The following is a 19704-nucleotide window of genomic DNA, read 5'->3' as shown; positions in this document are numbered from 1 at the left end:
GAATTTCTGAACTGGAAAGGACCATTGTAGGTCTTTGACCTAGCCTCATTTGCCAATAAGAAACACCATAAGGCTCAGTGAACTAGAAAGAGCTGTCCAGAGTTTCCCAGCTGACTAATGGCCCAGTCTGAACCAGAATCCAGGCTTCTGCCTGCCAAGGTTTTGGCCTTGCCACTAGGCATATAGCCTACCTTTGGTTTTACAACATTACTTTTTGCCTCTTTAAAACCTTTTTTTATTTTTATTTTTTCACCATCTGAAGAGGATAATATTTGCCTCTTGAAGTGCTTGTTTTCTCCAGAGCAAGGAATGTGGCTTGCAGAAATAAAATTACAGGTCAAAATTTGGCCATAGGACTTGTGAGAGATCCTGAGTAAAAGTCTCCTTTCTGTTCTTTCCTGATTAGCCCCCATGGAAGTCTCAAATCTGAAGGTGACAAATGATGGCAGTTTGACCTCTCTAAAAGTCAAATGGCAAAGACCTCCTGGAAATGTGGATTCTTACAATATCACCCTGTCTCACAAAGGGACCATCAAGGAATCCAGAGTATTAGCACCTTGGATTACTGAAACTCACTTTAAAGAGTTAGTCCCCGGTCGACTTTATCAAGTTACTGTCAGCTGTGTCTCTGGTGAACTGTCTGCTCAGAAGATGGCAGTGGGCAGAACATGTGAGTCTTGGGCTCCAGAATGTTCCTTGGTTGCTCAAATCACTCTCTGATCCACCTTAAAATAGGACAAAATAAGTCAGCAGGAAAACTCCTTTCCCAATCTGAGAAGTGGAGCCTATGTAACTGAAGGTGTCTGTAGTATGGCCCATTCTTCTGAGTCACTTAGGCAACTGAGTTTGGATTTCTGAATGATCTGCATGTTGTTTCTGTCTTATGCTTTTTCATGTCACGTCACTTAAGTAGCATAAATGCATTAGCATTGATACCAGTATATAAAACATTTCTGATTCATTCTTACAGTGAGAACCAGTTAGCATTTAACCATGTTTTCCATACATTATTTTATTAATTTATGTCCTCACTTATCTATCCAGTGCCTTATATATGTAAATTACTGTACTATTGTTAAAACGACTAAGACATGCTACTTGCCTTTAAGGCAGGATCCAGCAGACTACCCCATCTGGTGCCAAATCTGGTCTGTGGCCTGATTTTGTTTAGCCCTCAAGCTAAGAGTGGTTTTTACATGTTTAAAGGGTTGTACAAACAAATAAGGAAACAAACAAGAAAAAGATGAGACAGAGACCATATGTGTCCTGCAAAACCTGAAATATTTACTACCTGATCCTTACAGAAAAAATTGTCCAACTCCTGCTTTAGAAAACTTTCATTTTAATCACACAGATGTGGAATACACACATGTACAAAAATAAAAATAGTACATTTTAATAATAGTGACTGTATTGATATTTGCATGTATCAGGCACTGACTAAATAATTTATATCCATTATTTCATTTAGTTCTCACAACAAAACTGTGAGAGATGTCTTGTTATTTATTACCATTATACAGATAATTCAAAGAGGTCAAATAATTTGTCCATAGTCATCCAGCCAGTAAGTGGTAGAGCTAGAATTTAAACCAGGCTATTTGATTCCAGAGTCCATTCTCTCTGCTATTAGAGATCTGAAGTAAGAGATATATGGTCAAAAAGGAAAGATAAAATTTTCTTTCATAAGAGCAGTAAAAACTTGGAGGAAATGGGAGCAGGGTGCGGTGGCTCATGGCTATAATCCCAGCACTTTAGGAGGCTGAGGTGGAGGGTTGCTTGAGCCCAGGAGTTTGAGACCAACCTCAGCAACATAATGAGACCTCGTCTCTACAAAAAAAAAAAAAAAATTAATTAGCTGGGCATGGTGACATGTGCCTGTGGTCCTAGCTACTCAGGAGGCTGAGCTGGGAGGATTGCTTGAGCCCTGTGGTTGAGCCATGATTGCATCACTTCACTCCAGCCTAGCAATAGAGTGTGACCCTGTCTCAAAAAAAAAAAAAAAAAAAAACTTGGAGGAAATAGAAATGATCTTTAATAAGGACCTAAAAAATGTAACGTTTGTGACAAAGAGGGAAAAGAGGGAAGAGCTTTTGGGGTGGAGGGGACAAAATAAGCAAAGGCCCAGAGGCAGAAGGGCCCAGGAGACTTGCAGGTCTACAGAACATACAACCGGAAGCCAGCTTTCCAAAGGGTAGGGAAGGAGAGAGGATGGCTTCAGAAAGTAGTCTCAGTTAAGACTGGAAGGATATGGGGTCTGAACTTAAAGAGCCAAAAATGTAAGCAGAGGGCTTGACATTTTATTCTGCAGATTATAGAGAGACCTTGAATGTTTTTAAGCAAAAAAAAAAAAAAAAAAAAGAACTTAATCTTGCAAGAACATTAATCTTTTTAGTTGGAAAAGAAAGAAAGGAATGCCTCATGATCACGACATCCAATATCTCTTACAAAGGATGCCACATATCACTAGATTATTAACACTACAACAGAAGATTACATTACTGATATCACTAAAATGATTTTAGCGGACATTTCTTGTGTGTCAAATGTCTCCGAAATAAAGAACACTCATTTGCAATCCACAGACATCAAGAGGGGATAGAAATGTTTTGAACTGCAGATATTGTGTCTCCTATCTACTGCTGCCCAAGAAAAGTAAATGAGTATCCTTACTTTTGGTCTGTAATATCTCCTTTTTGACATCATTTCACCGTTTAGTTCCAGACAAAGTTGCAAACCTGGAGGCAAACAATAATGGCAGGATGAGGTCTCTTGTAGTGAGCTGGTCGCCCCCTGCTGGAGACTGGGAGCAGTATCGGATCCTACTCTTCAATGATTCTGTGGTGCTGCTCAACATCACTGTGGGAAAGGAAGAAACACAGTATGTCATGGATGACACGGGGCTCGTACCGGGAAGACAGTATGAGGTGGAAGTCATTGTTGAGAGTGGAAATTTGAAGAATTCTGAGCGTTGCCAAGGCAGGACAGGTAGGCAAATATGAAGATGTTAATACCAATGGAAGAGTAATTTGTTCCCTCTCCCAGGTAACCCAGGTAACTGCCGTAACTGCTAATATCATACCCTGGTGTTTTCTGAATTTGAGATATTAAGGACTTTAAGGCTAACATGGGGTTTCTAACACCTAATTTGTCAAATTAGAACATTTAAAATCACTTCCACTAGTAACTCCATTATTTCATGAAAGAAAGCCATTTCAAACACCAAAAGAGTAAGATGCATACATTCTGAAAACAAACACTGACCCTTCCCACAAAAGAAGAACCTTTTGCTAGTGATCAGCATTAGGGAACCATTGCCTTGACCTCATGTTGACTAATGTGGGGATTTCAGGTACCAATGAAGAGTGATTAAAGTGGAGAGGGATATATTTGGATTTTAGGGAAGGGAAGAATAAGGATACTGAAATGAGAAAACAGGCTCAAAGAGGTTATAACTTGCCCAAAGCTTTGCAATATAATCGTGACAGCAAGAATACCAAGACTCATGTTTCAGTATCCTCATACTGTCAAATACTTGTACTCATATTGTCAAATAAGAGAGTTGCACTTCCAAGTTCAACATTTGCTTGATAATCCTTGTAATGTGAAATACTCCATATTTAGAGTGAAATTCAAATACCTTCTTTCTTAGTTCGCCTGATAATAGGGAAATAACTACATGGATTCACTGTTCTTCTTAGAACAATGTCAAAGAAAAGGATCATGACACCCACTTAGCTTGCCAATGTGTCTTGCAGTAATCTCCTCATCTTCCAAATATTAATATCCACTGGATGATGATCAAAGACCTACAGAGCTTAAACTAAGCGACTTTTAGTATTTCACAGGACAAGCATCTCTGTCATCTCCAATATTTTATCACTCACCTCAAATAACTTGGAAATGGAAGATCACAGAACATTAGGGGCTCTCAGCATGTCAGCATAATTCTCAGGAGAACTTTTATTTATTTATTTATTATTTTTACATTTTGAGACAGAGTCTTGCTCTGTCTCCCAGGCCTAGGCTGGAGTGCAGTGGTACAATCTCGGCTCGCTGCAACCCCCACCTCCTAGGTTCAAGCAATTCTTGTGCCTCAGCCTCCCAAGTATCTGGGATTACAGGCGTGTGCCACCAGGCTCAGCTAATTTTTGTTCTTTTAGTAGAGACAGGATTTTACCATGTTGGCCAGGCTGGTCTCAAACTCCTGGCCTCAAGCAGTCCGCCTACCTTGGCCTCCCAAAGTGCTAGGATCACAGGCACAAGCCACGGCGCCAGGCCAAACTTTTGTTTTTCTTTTTCTTTCTTTTTTATTTTTGAGATAGAGTTTCACTCTTGTTGCCCAGGCTGGAGTGCAATGGCATGATCTTGGCTCGCTGCAACCTCTGCCTCCCAGGTTCAAACGATTCTCCTGCCTCAGCCTCCCAAGTAGCTAGGATCACAGGCATGTGCCACCACACCTGGCTAATTTTGCATTTTTAGTAGAGATGGGGTTTCACCATATTGGCCAGGCTGCTCTCAAACTCTTGACCTCAGGTGATCCACCCGCCTCAACCTCCCAAAGTGCTGGGATTACTGGCATGAGGCACTGCACCCGGCCCAAACTTTTCTTAAACTGTGTCTCTGGTTCACCTTATTCAGGTAACTTGAAGTAGGCCTCGATGTAAATAATCAAATTATTTCTCTATACCGAAGAAGGAAGATGGAGAGTTAGGGACTCAATTAGAATGGATTTATAGAAAATTTATGGATGCAAAATTTACAAGAAAATTTTTAATACTTGATTCTTTCATAATTTAAGGCAGCAACACTTTATTCTTTTCTTTTCTTTTCTTTTCTTTTTTTTTTTTTTTTTTGAGACAGAGTCTTGCTCTGTTGCCTAGGCTGGAGTGCAGTGGCACCATCTCAGCTCACTGCAACCTCCACCTCCCCCACTTAAGCAATTCTCATGCCTCAGCCTCCCGCTGAGACTACAGATGTGAGCCACCACGCCCGGCTAATTTTTGTATTTTTAGTAGAGATGGAGTTTTGCCATATTGGCCAGGGTGGTCTCAAACTCCTGACCTCAAGTGATCCACCCGCCTCGGCCTCCCAAAGTGCTGGGATTACAGATGTGAGCCACCGCACCCAACCAACAGTTTATTCTTAATGTCTCCTAGAAATTTTAACAATAAAACCTTTTAAAGGAATCAATTTTGAGATAAGTCCTCAATTAAATGCTATTATTGCCAGCCAACTCGCCCTTCCATGAACACATCAGTGTCCCCCACCTCAGAAATGAGGGAAAGTTGCACTTGGTCTCCTCAACCTATGGGGGTAACAAATACTCCTAACTCCACCTAAATACTTAAACAGGAACTTTTCTTTGTGATTTTGTGAATGACAAGATTGGAGTAAATATTTTTGTATTACAGAATTCATACAAAAAGATAAACTCAAAGTATTATACAGTCAAAAATCAATGACTCTTCTGGCAAGATGTTTTCTAATTGAGTCTGTATTTCTGGTTACATTACATGAACAAAGTTTTTTGTGATAAGATTTTGTTTTAATGCTCAGAGACATTCATAAAATAAATGTTGAACTGAAACACGCTTAAGGATGGAAGAGGAGAACTATCAAAAGTATACCCTATGAATATGCCTCAGTCCATCAATGACCCATCTCCATTGCTTTTTCCTCAGTCCCCCTGGCTGTCCTCCAGCTTCGTGTCAAACATGCCAATGAAACCTCACTGAGTATCATGTGGCAGACCCCTGTAGCAGAATGGGAGAAATACATCATTTCCCTAGCTGACAGAGACCTCTTACTGATCCACAAGTCACTCTCCAAAGATGCCAAAGAATTCACTTTTACTGACCTGGTGCCTGGACGAAAATACATGGCTACAGTCACCAGTATTAGTGGAGACTTAAAAAATTCCTCTTCAGTAAAAGGAAGAACAGGTAGTAACCTTTATAAATTTTACATTTTAAAGTGTTCTGTCTGCTGAATTACTATTTAACATGCAATTTACAAGTATTCATTAACTGCCTATTATGTACTGGGCATTGCTTTATGGATCCTTTCTATTGTGTTTGTTTTCTATTTTACCAATTGCAGTTCTTATCTTTATTAGTTCCTTCTTTTTACTTTGCTTGGATTTAGTTTGCTAAACTTGAAAAAGAGTAAAGAACAACCGTTTCAAGGAGTTTTGCTGTAAAGGAGAGCAGAGAAATAGGGCAGCATCTAGAAGAGGAACTATGGTTGAAAGGAGGATGATTTTTTAAAGGCAGAAGAAATAACAGCATGTTTTATGCTGGAGGGAATGATCTAGAAGATGTAGAAGGGAAATCATGATGATGTAAAGTGAGAGGGAAGAATTGCTGCAGTTATTCCATGAGTAGGCAAGAGGTATTGGGATCTAGAGCACAAGTGAAGGAATTGGCTTTAGAAAGGAGCATGGGGAATCTAATCTCAATGTCAGCTGGTATATTAGTCTGTTTTCACACTACTATAAAGATCCTACCCAAGACTGGGTAATTTATAAAGGAAAGAGGTTTAATTGACTCACAGTTCCACATGACTAGGGAGGCCTCAGGAAACTTATAATCATGGTGGAAGTTCAGTTAGAATGGCGATCATTAAAAAGTCAAGAAACAACAGGTGCTGGAGAGGATGTGGAGAGATACGAACACTTTTACACTGTTGGTGGGACTGTAAACTATTTCAACCATTGTGGAAGACAGTCTGGCAAATCCTCAAGGATCTAGAACTAGAAATACCATTTGACCCAGCCATCCCATTACTAGGTATATACCCAAAAGATTATAAATCATGCTGCTATAAAGACACATGCACACGTATGTTTATTGCGGCACTATTCACAATAGCAAAGACTTGGAACCAACCCGAATGTCCATCAATGATAGACTGGATTAGGAAAATGTGGCACATATTACACCACAGAATACTATGCAGCCATAAAAAAGGATGAGTTCGTGTCCTTGGTAGGGACGTGAATGAAGCTGGAAACCATCATTCTGAGCAAACTATCCCAAAGACAGAAAATCAAACACCACATGTTCTCACTCATAGGTGGGAATTGAACAATGAGAACACTTGGACACAGAGTGGGGAACATCACACACCGGGGCCTGTTGTGGGGTCGGGGGTCGGGGGAGGGATAGCATTAGGAGACATATCTAATGTAAATGATGAGTTAATGGGCACAGCACACCAACATGGCACATGTATACCTATGTAACAAAACTGCATGTTGTGCACAGGTACCCTAGAACTTAAAGTGTAATAAAATTAATTAATTAATTAATTTTTAAAAATCATGGTGGAAGGTGAAGGGGAAGCAGGCACCTTCTTCACAAGGTGGCAGGAGGGGAAGTGATGGAGATGAAAGGGGAAAGAGCCCCTTATAAAACCATCAGATCTTGTGAGAAATCACTCACTAACACAAGAACAGCATGGGGGAAACCACTCCCATGATCCAGTCACCTCCCTCCTTGGACACATGGGGATTACAATTCAAGATGAGATTTGGGTGGGGACACAGAGCCAAACCGTATCAGCTAGGAAAGAGAGAATATGTGGGTGCAGATGCCAATAGGTGGATCGTTGTAGGGTGAGCAGTTATCTTCTAATTGCTTTCATTTTTTTCAGTGTAATTGGAAGCAAAGTCATCAAGATTTCCCTTTTTAGTTGGACGCCGTGGCTCACATCTGTAATCCCAGCACTTTGGGAGGCCGAGATGGGTGGATCTTGAGGCCAGGAATTCAAGACCAGCCTGGCCAACATGGCAAGACACTGTCTCTACTAAAAACACAAAAATTAGCTGGGAGTGGTGGCACATACCTGTAATCCCAGATACTCGGGAGGCTGAGGCATAAGAATCACTTAAACCCAGGAGGTGGAGGTTGCATGAGTCGAGATCCTGCCACTGCACACTAGCCTGGGTGATAGAGCGAGAACCTGCCTCAAAAAAAAAAAAAAAAAGAAATTTCTTTTTTCAATGTATATACTATTGTCCTGTATCTTATTTTTCTCTCCTCTTTTGATCCCACAAAAATATAATTATTGCTTTATATAGTCAACATCTGTTTAGATTTACCTACCAATTTACTACCTTTTTTCTCATTTTTTCCCCCTGCATCTGAGATGTTTTATCTGGGATTATTTTCCTTTATCCTGGAGAACGTTATTCAAATTTCTTCATTGAGAGTTTCTAGGGACAAACTCTCTCAAATTTTGTTTTTGCTGGGCATATTTTTATATAGCTCTCATTTTTATATAGCTCTCGGTCTTGAAAGATATTTTCCTTAAGTTCCAACTCTGTGTTTAAAGTTACTTTCTCTCAGCACATAAAAGATATTATTCTAGTCTTTCTGGGATTTATTGTTGCGCTGAGTCAGCTGTCAGTCTGATTTTTATTTCTCTATGAGTCTGTTTGCTATGACTGCTTTTTTGCCTTTGGGGTTCAGTTGTTTCACAATAATGATCAAGGTGTAGATATATTTCTTTTTGTTTCTCTTGCTCAAGATTGATTGGCATTTCTGTACTTTCCAACTAGTGTCTTTCTACAATCCTGGAAATTCTCAGCTATTAACTCTCTAATATTGCCTCTTGCCCCTTCTCCATTCCCCACTCTGTCATCTTCTGGTATTCTAGAACACACATATATGAACACATCAATATATTTCATATTTTCCATGTGTTTTCTCTCTGAACTACAGTATAGGTAACTTTCTCATATCTTTGATTCATTTCATTAATTCTTTCTTCAGCTTTGTCTAATCTATTTTAAAATCTACCCACTGTTTTAAATTTTAATTGTTATGTTCACTTTTAAGCATTCTCTTTGGCTCTCTTTCAAATTTATGTTGTGCTCTGTTGCTCTTTAGTTATATTTTCATTCCCCTCCTGTATTGTTATATGCAAATTAACAATGTTTATTTTCCATCCTATGTCTGATAATTATAATAGCTGAAATCTTCAGGAGTTAAGTTCTGTTGTCTTTTGATTTTCCTGCCTTTTGTTTATGTTGCTTTATTTCTTTAAATGTATGTGATTTCTTTTTACTGTAAGCCTGTTTTCCCTAGAATTTTATTCTGTGGAAATTATTTAAGGCCATGTTTGAAGGTGAGTTTCAGAAAGAATTTTCATTTGATTCTTTCAGGTGCACAAGACTGCTATCAAACCAGACCTACTTTAATCTAAATTGTCAACTTTAGGTTCTTTGATCACCTGGGTTTTATAAATTCAGGTTGCAAACACATTGAAACTATCTTAAGGTTATGAGTTCTCAGAGGAAATCGTTTTCTCCATCCAGTATTAAGAAGGCTGAAGTTGTATGGGGAGTAAAGAGAGACTATTTATTTCACTTATACTTAGAATGTAGCCTTTCCAATGTTATGCAAGGTCAGCTATGAGTTTCTTCAGCCTGGAAAAATCTACACTTTACCTCCTTTCTCCAATATCCTGCAGTGCTATAAAATCAAAGCTTACATTTGCATTTGAAAGGTGCTCTCAACACAACAGTTCGCTTTATGATCCAATTACCTCTCTATCCTTTACTTTTTGGCCTTTGAGAATCTCTTACATTCCTGACAAGTCATTCATTTACATTTTCACATTTTATCCAATATGTATAGTTGTGTTTATTAGAAGGATTTTCATGGTATCTAGCCTATCATACTGCCAGAAAGGGAAGTCCAAGACATTGTTTTAGACCTAAGGTCATTTTTATCATCCCCACCACCCATATTGCTGGGTCATATGGTAAATGCATGTTTAACTTTGTAGAAAACTGCCAAACTGCTTTCCAAAGTATTGTAAAATTTTACATTCCCACCAGCAATGTATGAAATTTCCACTTCCTCCGTGTTCTCAGCATGTAGTACATGGTATTAGCAGTTTGTTTTAAAATTTAGCCATTCTAATGGAATAGCCATTATAATAAGATAATGATAGCTCATGTGGTTTTAATTTGCCTTTTTCTAATGTCTAATGGGTTTGAGAATCCTTTCACAAGCTTATTTGTCACCCATTTATCTTTTCTGGGGAAGTTTTTGTTCAAATATTTTGCTGGATTTTAAAATAGGATTGTTTGTTTGTCCTTGGTCAAAATGTTTTCTGTCGGTTTTTCATTTTGATGTCCAATTTATCAGTTTTTTTCTTTCATAAATCATGCTGTGGTGTCATATCTAAAAATATTTGCCTAAATCAAGGTCACAAAGGTTTTCTCCTAGAAGGTTATAGTTTTAGGTTTTAAATGTAGGTCTGCGACCCATTTTGAGTTAATTTTTATATATGATGTGAGATATAGGTGAAGGTTTTTTTCTTTGCATATAGACATCTGATAATTCTACCTCTATGTATTGAAAAGACTATCTTTTCTCCATGAAATTGCCTTTGAATCTCTAAAAAATCCATTGATAGCATATTCTTCTATCTCTGGGCTCTCAATTCTGTTCTATCAATCTATGTTTCTGTCTGCCCTTTGCCAGTATTATCCTGTCTTGATTACAAGATTTTTAGTGAAATCAGGTGGTGTTAGTCCTCTAACTTTATTCATCTTTTTCAAAATTGCTTTGGCCACTGTAGCTGTTTGCCTTTCATATAAAATTTAGAATTATAATTGAATCTTTAGAATTGAATCTGATCCATATACAGTAGGATTTTTTTAATGAACGCTTTTGTATCTTAATCCAGAAGTCAATGAACTTTGAGAAAGAGGGGTGCCAAGGTTCCAGTCCCTTTGATTATTGTAATTCAGGAAAGAGGCACAAAGAAGAATGTATGTTGACCAAGTGCCAACTTCAAGATCTGTGTATAAGATTTGTTAAATGATAAGTTGGAAGAAATAAATGTTGTTAATTAGGAAAAGGACACAGGCTTAGGGGTTAGATAAATCTAGCTTTCAGTTCCAGGTTGGCTATTTGTTAGCACTGTGATATAGGCTAAATTACTTACATTTTATGATCCTTGGTTTCCTTGTTAATAAATGGAATAATAAAGTCAACTTTATAGAGTTCTGAATGGGTGTCAAATAATGTAACCTTTATGAGACATATAGCTCATAACTGGCACATAGTAGGCCTTCAGTAGTTGTTGTTATTATCATTATTTTTTAATATATATATTATAATTTATATTATTATCACATGTTCATGTATAATAACAGCCCCTTTAAGAATGTGCCAGTATAGAACTAATCAGTTTGCTAGACCATAATCAACAGACTGAAGGGAATTCCCAATACCACCCCATAACAATCATTGGCTCAGGTAGATTAGATAGCTTTGAATTCTCATGGGGTAAGGACAGATAAAATCACATTAACTAAGCAGTTTTCAAAAATAGCAGCCTTCATTATCTAAAATTTAAAATCAAAACCACTTAATAAGCATGCATCATCTCATCTTTGGATCTTAAATAATTTTGATTCCCTATATAAGCAGCTTTTTCAAAGTACTAGAGCCTCTCTAGAGGAGTAGTTCTCCATATGCCACAGGAAATAGAACTGAGAGTCTATAGCAACAACACAAAAATTATTTTTAGTACTTTCAAGTCTGTCTCCATTTTTTGACTCATTTTTCTTACACTTTCTTAAGGTGACTAAGTGTCATTTGTTTTTTCTTCTGTCTACTGTTTTAGTGCCTGCCCAAGTGACTGACTTGCATGTGGCCAACCAAGGAATGACCAGTAGTCTGTTTACTAACTGGACCCAGGCACAAGGAGACGTAGAATTTTACCAAGTCTTACTGATCCATGAAAATGTGGTCATTAAAAATGAAAGCATCTCCAGTGAGACCAGCAGATACAGCTTCCACTCTCTCAAGTCCGGCAGCCTGTACTCCGTGGTGGTAACAACAGTGAGTGGAGGGATCTCTTCCCGACAAGTGGTTGTGGAGGGAAGAACAGGTAAGAAGTAGAGATATGTGTCTGTGACTTAACTAAGATCTGAGTACATGAGACCCCTAATCAGAATATTATAGAAATATCCTAAAATCAGACTCATCCCTGGCCTTTACAAAAGCTAAGTTTCACAAAAGCTAGCCATCCAGAAGGTATATGGAATGGAAATTGGGCGATGGGTGATGGCAAGAGAGAATAAATTCTGATTTTTTTTTTTTTTTTTGAGACGGAATTTCGCTCTGGTTGCTCAGGCTGGAGTGCGATGGCGTGATCTCGGCTCACCGCAACCTCCGCCTCCTGGGTTCAGCAATTCTCCTGCCTCAGTCTCCCGAGTAGCTGGGATTACAGGCGTGTGCCACCACGCCCTGCTAACTTTGTATTTTTAGTAGAGACAGGGTTTCTCCACGTTGGTCAGGCTGCTCTCGAACTCCTGACCTCAGGTGATCCACCCGCCTCGGCCTCCCAAAGTTCTGGGATTACAGGCGTGAGCCACCACTCCTGGCTGAATATTTTAACATCTCCAATGAACATGTAAGAACTCCTCACTCGATGTCTAGACTTATCCCCCTATTCAGTTGATTTCCTTTGAAATGTTTATGTTCCAGTTAAGGTAAACAATAATGGATAAAAAACAAAACAAACCTCCCAAAGAAAGCATCTTTCACTCTTATATATTCTTGGTTTGCAAGACATAAAAAGAAAATGATCTCCAATTAATATGGTTAGAGGTGGAGTTGATCTAATTTTCAGGTCTCATATATTTTCATAAGCAACGTTAAACAAGTGCTTAATATGCTATCTAAACAATTTTTCTTGACCTTAATAGCTCCCTGTTAGAAAGCTAAGTAAACAAATAAGTGTCATTATGGTCATGTATGTCAGGGAGCCATGGCACCGAGGAAGAAATTACATAGAATTTTCTATGTAATACAATGAAAGAACATAAAAAATTAATATATATGATATATAAAATGTATGTTCATTTCTTAGAAAAAAATTACATAAACCCAATAGAAGCTTTGATAATTATTAGTGGGACCTTGTCTACTTAATTTTATATAATTATTTTAAGTTGGATTTCAGGCTTCTCCTTCTGCATCCTCAACACTCAAATTCTGTTTATCAGCTGCAGGCATCATAGATGCATCTCTTTCCAAAATCATGAATCTCATCTACTTAATGAACCCAGAGGACATTAACTTCATTAACTCTCCCAGAAGAACAATGAAGTCACTGAGAAGATGTTTCATAGTCTTGGTAGAAATTCACTGGTGTATGCCCATTTCCCTCATTCTATGACAGCTGACATTGTCACTTGCATGTTTCTTTTTTTTTTTTTTTTTTTTGAGATGGAGTCTCATTTTGTCGCCAGGCTGGAGTGCAGTGGCACGATCTTGGCTCACTGCAACCTCCGACTCCCTGGTTCAAGCGATTCTCCTGTCTCAGTCTCCCGAGTAGCTGGGATTACAGGCACGCACCACCACGCCCAGCTAATTTTTGTACTTTTAGTAGAAACAGGGTTTCAGCTTGTTGGCCAGGATGGTCTCGATCTCCTGACCTCGTGATCTGCCTGCCTCGGCCTCCCAAAGGGCTGGGATCACAGGTGTGAGCCACTGCGCCCGGCCTGTCACCTGCATCTTTCTCCCTGATATTTTCTTTCCTTTCTTTTAATGGTTCTTGGCACCATCCATTGGTGTAGCATACTTGGGGGTAGGTAGCTGAAAAGCTTAGCATGGAAATCAGGAGGCCTAGGTTTTGGTCCTAGCTCTGCCATTAACTTATTTCCCTAAGCTTCTGTGTTTTAATCCACACACAATAATTCACTCCTACCCTGGGTGTCAGAATAGGGAAGGAGAAATAATAAAGCTGAGGAGAGGAGTGGAGGACGACCTTGCATTCATTTCCCAGTGATTTGCAGTTGTATCAGTCACATTAGACTGATTTAATTCATGCTTAGACACTGTATAATGTGGGTGTTCATGATTGGATGCCTCTATTGGTTGGGATACAGTCTCCTACTATCAGTGGCTCTTCTTTGCTGTAGGTCCTCAGAGCTCTCCCCATTTCTCCAGAGAATGGAGGTTGGGGAGGGGTACAACTCATCAGACTTGGGAGTAGGCATTTCACTTCCACCCACATTCCACTGGCCAGAACTCAGTTACATGGCTACATCTGACTGCCTGGGAGCCTGAGAAATGCAGTCTAGCTGTGTGTCAAGAGGAAAAGGAAATGGTCGGGGAACCATATTCTGCCACACAGGTTGATTCTCATTTTATATACCACAAGGATTGTCCAACTTATTGTGAGCTACTAAAATAGTCTAGTCTGTGCTATCTCTTGAAATAACTGTGTACTTTAAGTAAGTGGGACTTAAAATTATTTTTATTTTTTAATTTATATTTTTATTTATATTTTAATTAGAATAAAGGTACAAGTATTTGACCCATATTATATAATAGAAGCATTCAAAAAAGGGAAAAAGGGACAAGAAATTATTTGAAGAATGGTCATAAAGTTTTGAGGAGAGAATCAAATATGAATAAATTGAGCACGAGTTATTTTACTCAAACATATGAAGAGTGCACATTATCACGATAAAGGGGAAAATGGGAGACTCCTGTAAAGCACAATAATAGGGATTTTGAAAGGTGCCTCTTTTAGTAAATTTTGTACACAGTCAATTGTAAAGAATTCAGTGGGTAAGGCCTTGATAATCCTTATCATCTCCTCAAATTGCTGAAACATTAGTCAATATTGAAATAATTTTGAAAGGTATTCTTATATTTCACCTGTTTCCACTGAGTTGAAACATATAAATAAACCCTCCCAGCCCAGATAAGATGGCAGAATATTTAAAATTAAAGATATTAGATATACTTAACAAATCTAATTCTAATCTGGGAAAATGCTCATCCTAAAGCAAAAACAAATTTTGTATCTATTTTTTCTTAAACATGTGAATCATATTTCTGTGAAAACTTTTGATAATTGTGTCTTTTCTAATAAAATGTTAGTAGTTGCAAATATTTCCAGCAGTTTTTAAAAACAAGCATAATGAGTTGCTTTTGAGAGCAACTAAAGGATGTATAGATGGTTGGATGGCAGAAGAAAGGAAGGAAAGAAAGCAAAAAGGAAGAAAAGAAGGAAAGAAAAGGAAGGAAGAGATGTACCAATATATAAATCTTCTGGCTAAAAAGTTCAACTTTATATCTAGGAAATGTCCATATATGTGGATCAACATTACCAGAGTTGTTCACTAGAATGCAGTTTATAATTTTTAGTGATGGATAAGTGCTTTTAAGTATAAGGTATGCTTTGGGGCTTAATTCACAAAGTCCGAACATATTACATTAGAAGGATTCTCAGAAGTCATCTAGCCAAATCCTGTCCATTATAAGTGATGTACTGATATTGACAATCATATGAAACTGTTAAGTTAATCAACTAATGATTAAAACAGTAGTGTAGTTCATATATACTGTAATATTTTAACCCTATATTCATTTATGGCAGTACTATTTAATGGGCACCTATTTCTGATATGTGGTTCAACTTTTACTCAATACTGCAATTACTAATTTGCTGACTATACCTCCAACCAGAGAACTTCTTGAAGACATTCATGCGTTTTTCATTTTTGTATACCTGGCAAATAGTAGGTTCTCAGTAAACGTTTGTGACACTAATCCCCAATTCATATAAGCAAATGATTATAGTTGACATCAGAAAACCCATTATCGCCATAACAGTTCTCTCTGCCCTTGGTTGGTCCAGCTTCCAGACTTCTTACTTCCAAGATAGGTTTTTAGGCTTATTTCTTACCACTAGAGGGCAGGAAATGCCTTGCAAAGGGAAAACGGTCCCTCTGGTTGTGTTAGCTATTACTTCCCAGGAATGAATAACTTCATCACAAAAAAATTGAAGCTATCCCAGTTTAAGGTCTTTAGAAAAGCTATCGTATTCTTCCCCTTTCCACTCAAACATTTTTGCTTTATTGGTAAGTTTGGTTCAAGTTGATTCATTTAGATTGTTGAAATATTTGTTCCCTTTCTTACAGGGAACCTTCTAAAACATTGTATAAGGATGTCTCCACTTGAAATGCTTTACAAACAGCAACCCCATAAAAATGCAGTAGTGGCATCCTTGTATTTACGAGGCATCCCAAAGGCCTCCGGACATTTTTATTTTGATTAGTTTTCTGATGTAAGAACACTCAGCTTCTGGAAGCTGAGTGAAATCCTCACGCTTCCTTGACCTCTTATATAATCAGATTAGATCTCCTGAGTGAGTCCACGGTTTGTGCTGACTGCAATAGACGACTCAAACTTTTGACTGTGTCTTTCTTTTTGAATCCCCCTTCCCCCCCCCCCCCGCCCCCCACCTTTCAAAATCACAGTCCCTTCCAGTGTGAGTGGAGTAACGGTGAACAATTCCGGTCGTAATGACTACCTCAGCGTTTCCTGGCTGCTGGCGCCCGGAGATGTGGATAACTATGAGGTAACATTGTCTCATGACGGCAAGGTGGTTCAGTCCCTTGTCATTGCCAAGTCTGTCAGAGAATGTTCCTTCAGCTCCCTCACCCCAGGCCGCCTCTACACCGTGACCATAACTACAAGGAGTGGCAAGTATGAAAATCACTCCTTCAGCCAAGAGCGGACAGGTAAGGCTGTATGAAGGTTCAGGGCTCCGTAAGAACCAATTCACATGTGGCTCAGGGCACCACAGAGCTGTAGCAATTCTGTAATGATGGGATGAAAGGCCCTTGAGATCACAAAACTGTTATGAAGTCTTCGTATTTTAACCCAAGAAACTCCTTATGTGAGCAGACCCTGTGTGACTAGAATTTATATTATATTCAAATAGTGAAAAAAGTGTTCCCGTTTATGGAGTACTTTTTGGTTGCTAGGGCCTGGCTTTATATATCTTAACTATAACTAACCCTTATGAACTCCTTATTGAGGTAGTCATTGTTATTATTCCCATTTTACAGATCAGGAAACCAAGGTTCAGGGAGGTCAAGTAACTCGCCCAACTGTTTACCTTGTTAAACAGCCAGTGTGTTTCAGATCCTGGTTTTAAACCCAGTTCTGAATGACTCCAGTGCCTACAAAGCTCTCCATCCTAAAATCCATCCTGAAATGTCTGTTGGTCAAAACCACTATTCATCCTTTTTCACACAAGGTGAAAATGTGAACCTTTATGGTTCTGGGACTAGGGAGCAAAAATCTTAGCAAAGGAAATGAATGTTCAGTCCAATGTGCTGGAAAGAATTAAATTTAAATAGCTACCATTTTCCCAATATATTTATGCTTTCTGGGGTTTATACCTGAGATTTCTGCTTAAGGTTGGCATCAATACATTGTCAAATGTTTCCTACTAAGCTATGGGTTGATTTCTGTATTTTAAAATGTCAGTTTTTCCATGAGGTTCTGAGACAATTGTCCTTATCCTGTTACCTAGCGCAGGACCTGGGGCTTAGTAGGCACTCAGTAAATACTTGGCAAAGGAATAATCAGAAATCACTTAGATCAGGGGTCCCACCTGGGAGTCCATGGTTCATGGGAGACTTTAGGAATGTAGTAACCCCTGAAATTGTTTATGAGGTTGCTGGGGATAGGAAAGGTATATGCATTTCTTTGAGAAGAAACAGTCCATGGCTTTTATCAGATTCTTATGGTTTCTGTGACCTCCAAAAAGCTAAGAACCTCTGATTTATATTGTTACAGGATGCTGACATTGAAGGGGTCCTTAGAATGATCTAATCCTGTTTCCTCATTTGGATATAAAGGAAGTCCCAGAGAAGGAGTGTGGCTTCTCCAGGGTTGCAGGGCTGACTGGTAGTGGAGTTCAGTCTAGCTCCAGTGCTGTCCATTCCATCATGCTGTATCCGAGAGCACTAGTCAGGGATATAAAGAGATTATCCCTACCCTTGAATAATTTGAAGCCCAATTACACTGACAATCACAATAATGACTTAGATCTGAAAAGCAGATTTCTATTTACAAAGCAGTCTTATGTCAGGGTCTCATATTGATCAACTTGGAGCCTAAAAATCACCAGAAATTAAAGGATGTGTTACCTAACTACCAACCCCTTGCTTCCTACCAATGTCAATTCATGATGATTTCCTATCCGTATGACTTTAATATTGCCAAGTCTTTTGCTGAGATTGTTTTAAAATGCAAGAAAGTGATTCTTTATTCAGTGCATCCTCTTGACTCCTTGACCGGCATGAACTTGGACTTGGTACACGACTAATGGAGGCAAATCATTGCCCCTGACAAATCAGTTTAACTGGAGGGTCATGTCTGAGTTGTTCTCTTGATGATTTTGGCTGATTATCTTAATGCCCTTTTCCATTTCTGATGCTCTTGTTCTACATTTTGGGTGAAAATACCAATATTTCTAATTCTGTATCACATCATCTCACTGTGTAGCAAGGCAGGTCTCCACAAATTACCCCGTTCCACCTGGAGAGCTCCTTATTGACTTAACGTGATATTCAGCCAGGTTTTTCTTCCTGTAATAGTTGCTTTGCCTTTAGCAAATTGCCTGGATCATTGACCTTTCTTAGCCCATGCATAAAATGCCACTTCATAATTTCCTCTCCTTAACTCTGTGATGACTGTATTCTAACAACACTGTAATTGGTTTTAGGTAAATATCTTGGAGAAAGCATATCTGTCCTTGCTCCATATCTGTGGTGAGCTATATTCCAAACACTAATCAGTAAACACAAGGCAACAAAGGATGCTAATGCAACTTGCAGGTGTGAGAAAATGGAGCTTCCATGCCAAAATACTGAAATTTCTGGATCATTTCATGATTTGAGAAAAAGTAGAGGTGAAAAATTGGACACAGCCTTGGCATGTGGTCAGATCAGAAACCCCTAATATATACCAAATACAGAGGACATGCTAGTATTAGGACAAGAGTTTAGTACCCTGGATCCGAGTTCATGCCTCTTTTCAATGCTCCTCCTCATTAATATGTATAATGTCCAGTTACCGTGAAATAGTAATGAATCTGTGGCCTACTGTTGAATTAAAATTCAGCCCCAAATGGAAAAATGAAATCTCCTTAATATCATGCTCTAAATACAGAATTGCCTTATTCCACAGTGTTCCTAAGTAACATGCATATATTTATTTACTGGTTGGGGAGGGGACCACAGATATACAGAATGGTTTCGTTCATATATTAGAAAGAACCTCACATGCACAAAATTGTATTAATCATAATTCTTGGTTCAAGAAACCATGCATCCCCAGCACTTTGGGAGGCCGAGGCGGGAGAATCATGAGGTCAGGAGTTTGAGACCAGCCTGGCCAACATGGTGAAATCCCATCTCTACTAAAAATACAAAAAATTAGCTAGGTGTAGTGGCAGGCACCTGTAATCCCAGCTACTTGGGAGGCTGAGGCAGGAGAATCGCTTGAACCAGAAGGCAGAGGTTCCAGTGAGCCAAGATCGCACCACTGCACTCCAGCCCGGGCAAGAGAGTGAGATTCTGTCTCAAAAAAAAAAAAAAAAAAAGAAAAGAAAAGAAAAAAGAAACCATGCATCAACTGCCACCTTTACTTTTTAGGCATCTAGTTAGTAATTTTTGATAATTTAACATGTACACAAGAAACCAACCAGTACCTAAAATAAAAGCTAGGACCTTGACAATAACCTACATCAAAGTATGTGGTCCCCACCTCGTGAATTCACTCAAAGGTAGCCAACATCTTGACTCCTATGTTCACCTCTCCCTTGCTTTCCATCTTGCATAGTTTTATTGCATTTATATAC

At 38.7% G+C, this 19704-nt stretch overlaps 1 protein-coding gene across 10 annotated transcripts in view; it reads left to right on the top strand.

Annotated features, from left to right (window-relative positions):
• Positions 1-19704, top strand: part of PTPRB (protein tyrosine phosphatase receptor type B) — a 121560-nt gene that overhangs the window by 44478 nt on the left and 57378 nt on the right. For 6 of the 10 annotated variants that reach the window (XR_944651.2, NM_001109754.4, NM_001206972.3 and 3 more), the window contains 5 exons: positions 407-670; positions 2719-2988; positions 5685-5945; positions 11650-11916; positions 16307-16570. Coding sequence is in view for 9 of the 10 variants with exons in the window: in NM_001109754.4 (NP_001103224.1) it covers positions 407-670; positions 2719-2988; positions 5685-5945; positions 11650-11916; positions 16307-16570 (1326 nt within the window). In the remaining variant the exon portion in view is untranslated. Of the gene's footprint in view, positions 1-406; positions 671-2718; positions 2989-5684; positions 5946-7661; positions 7793-11649; positions 11917-16306; positions 16571-19704 lie in introns of those variants that run through there. The other 4 variants (NM_001330204.2, XM_011538614.2, NM_001206971.3 and 1 more) reach the window with 3 other exon arrangements.

This window comes from Homo sapiens, chromosome 12 (assembly GCF_000001405.40).
Source record: "Homo sapiens chromosome 12, GRCh38.p14 Primary Assembly".
In the NCBI taxonomy this organism is placed as follows: domain Eukaryota; kingdom Metazoa; phylum Chordata; class Mammalia; order Primates; family Hominidae; genus Homo; species Homo sapiens.
This window is presented reverse-complemented; position numbering and strand designations above follow the sequence as displayed.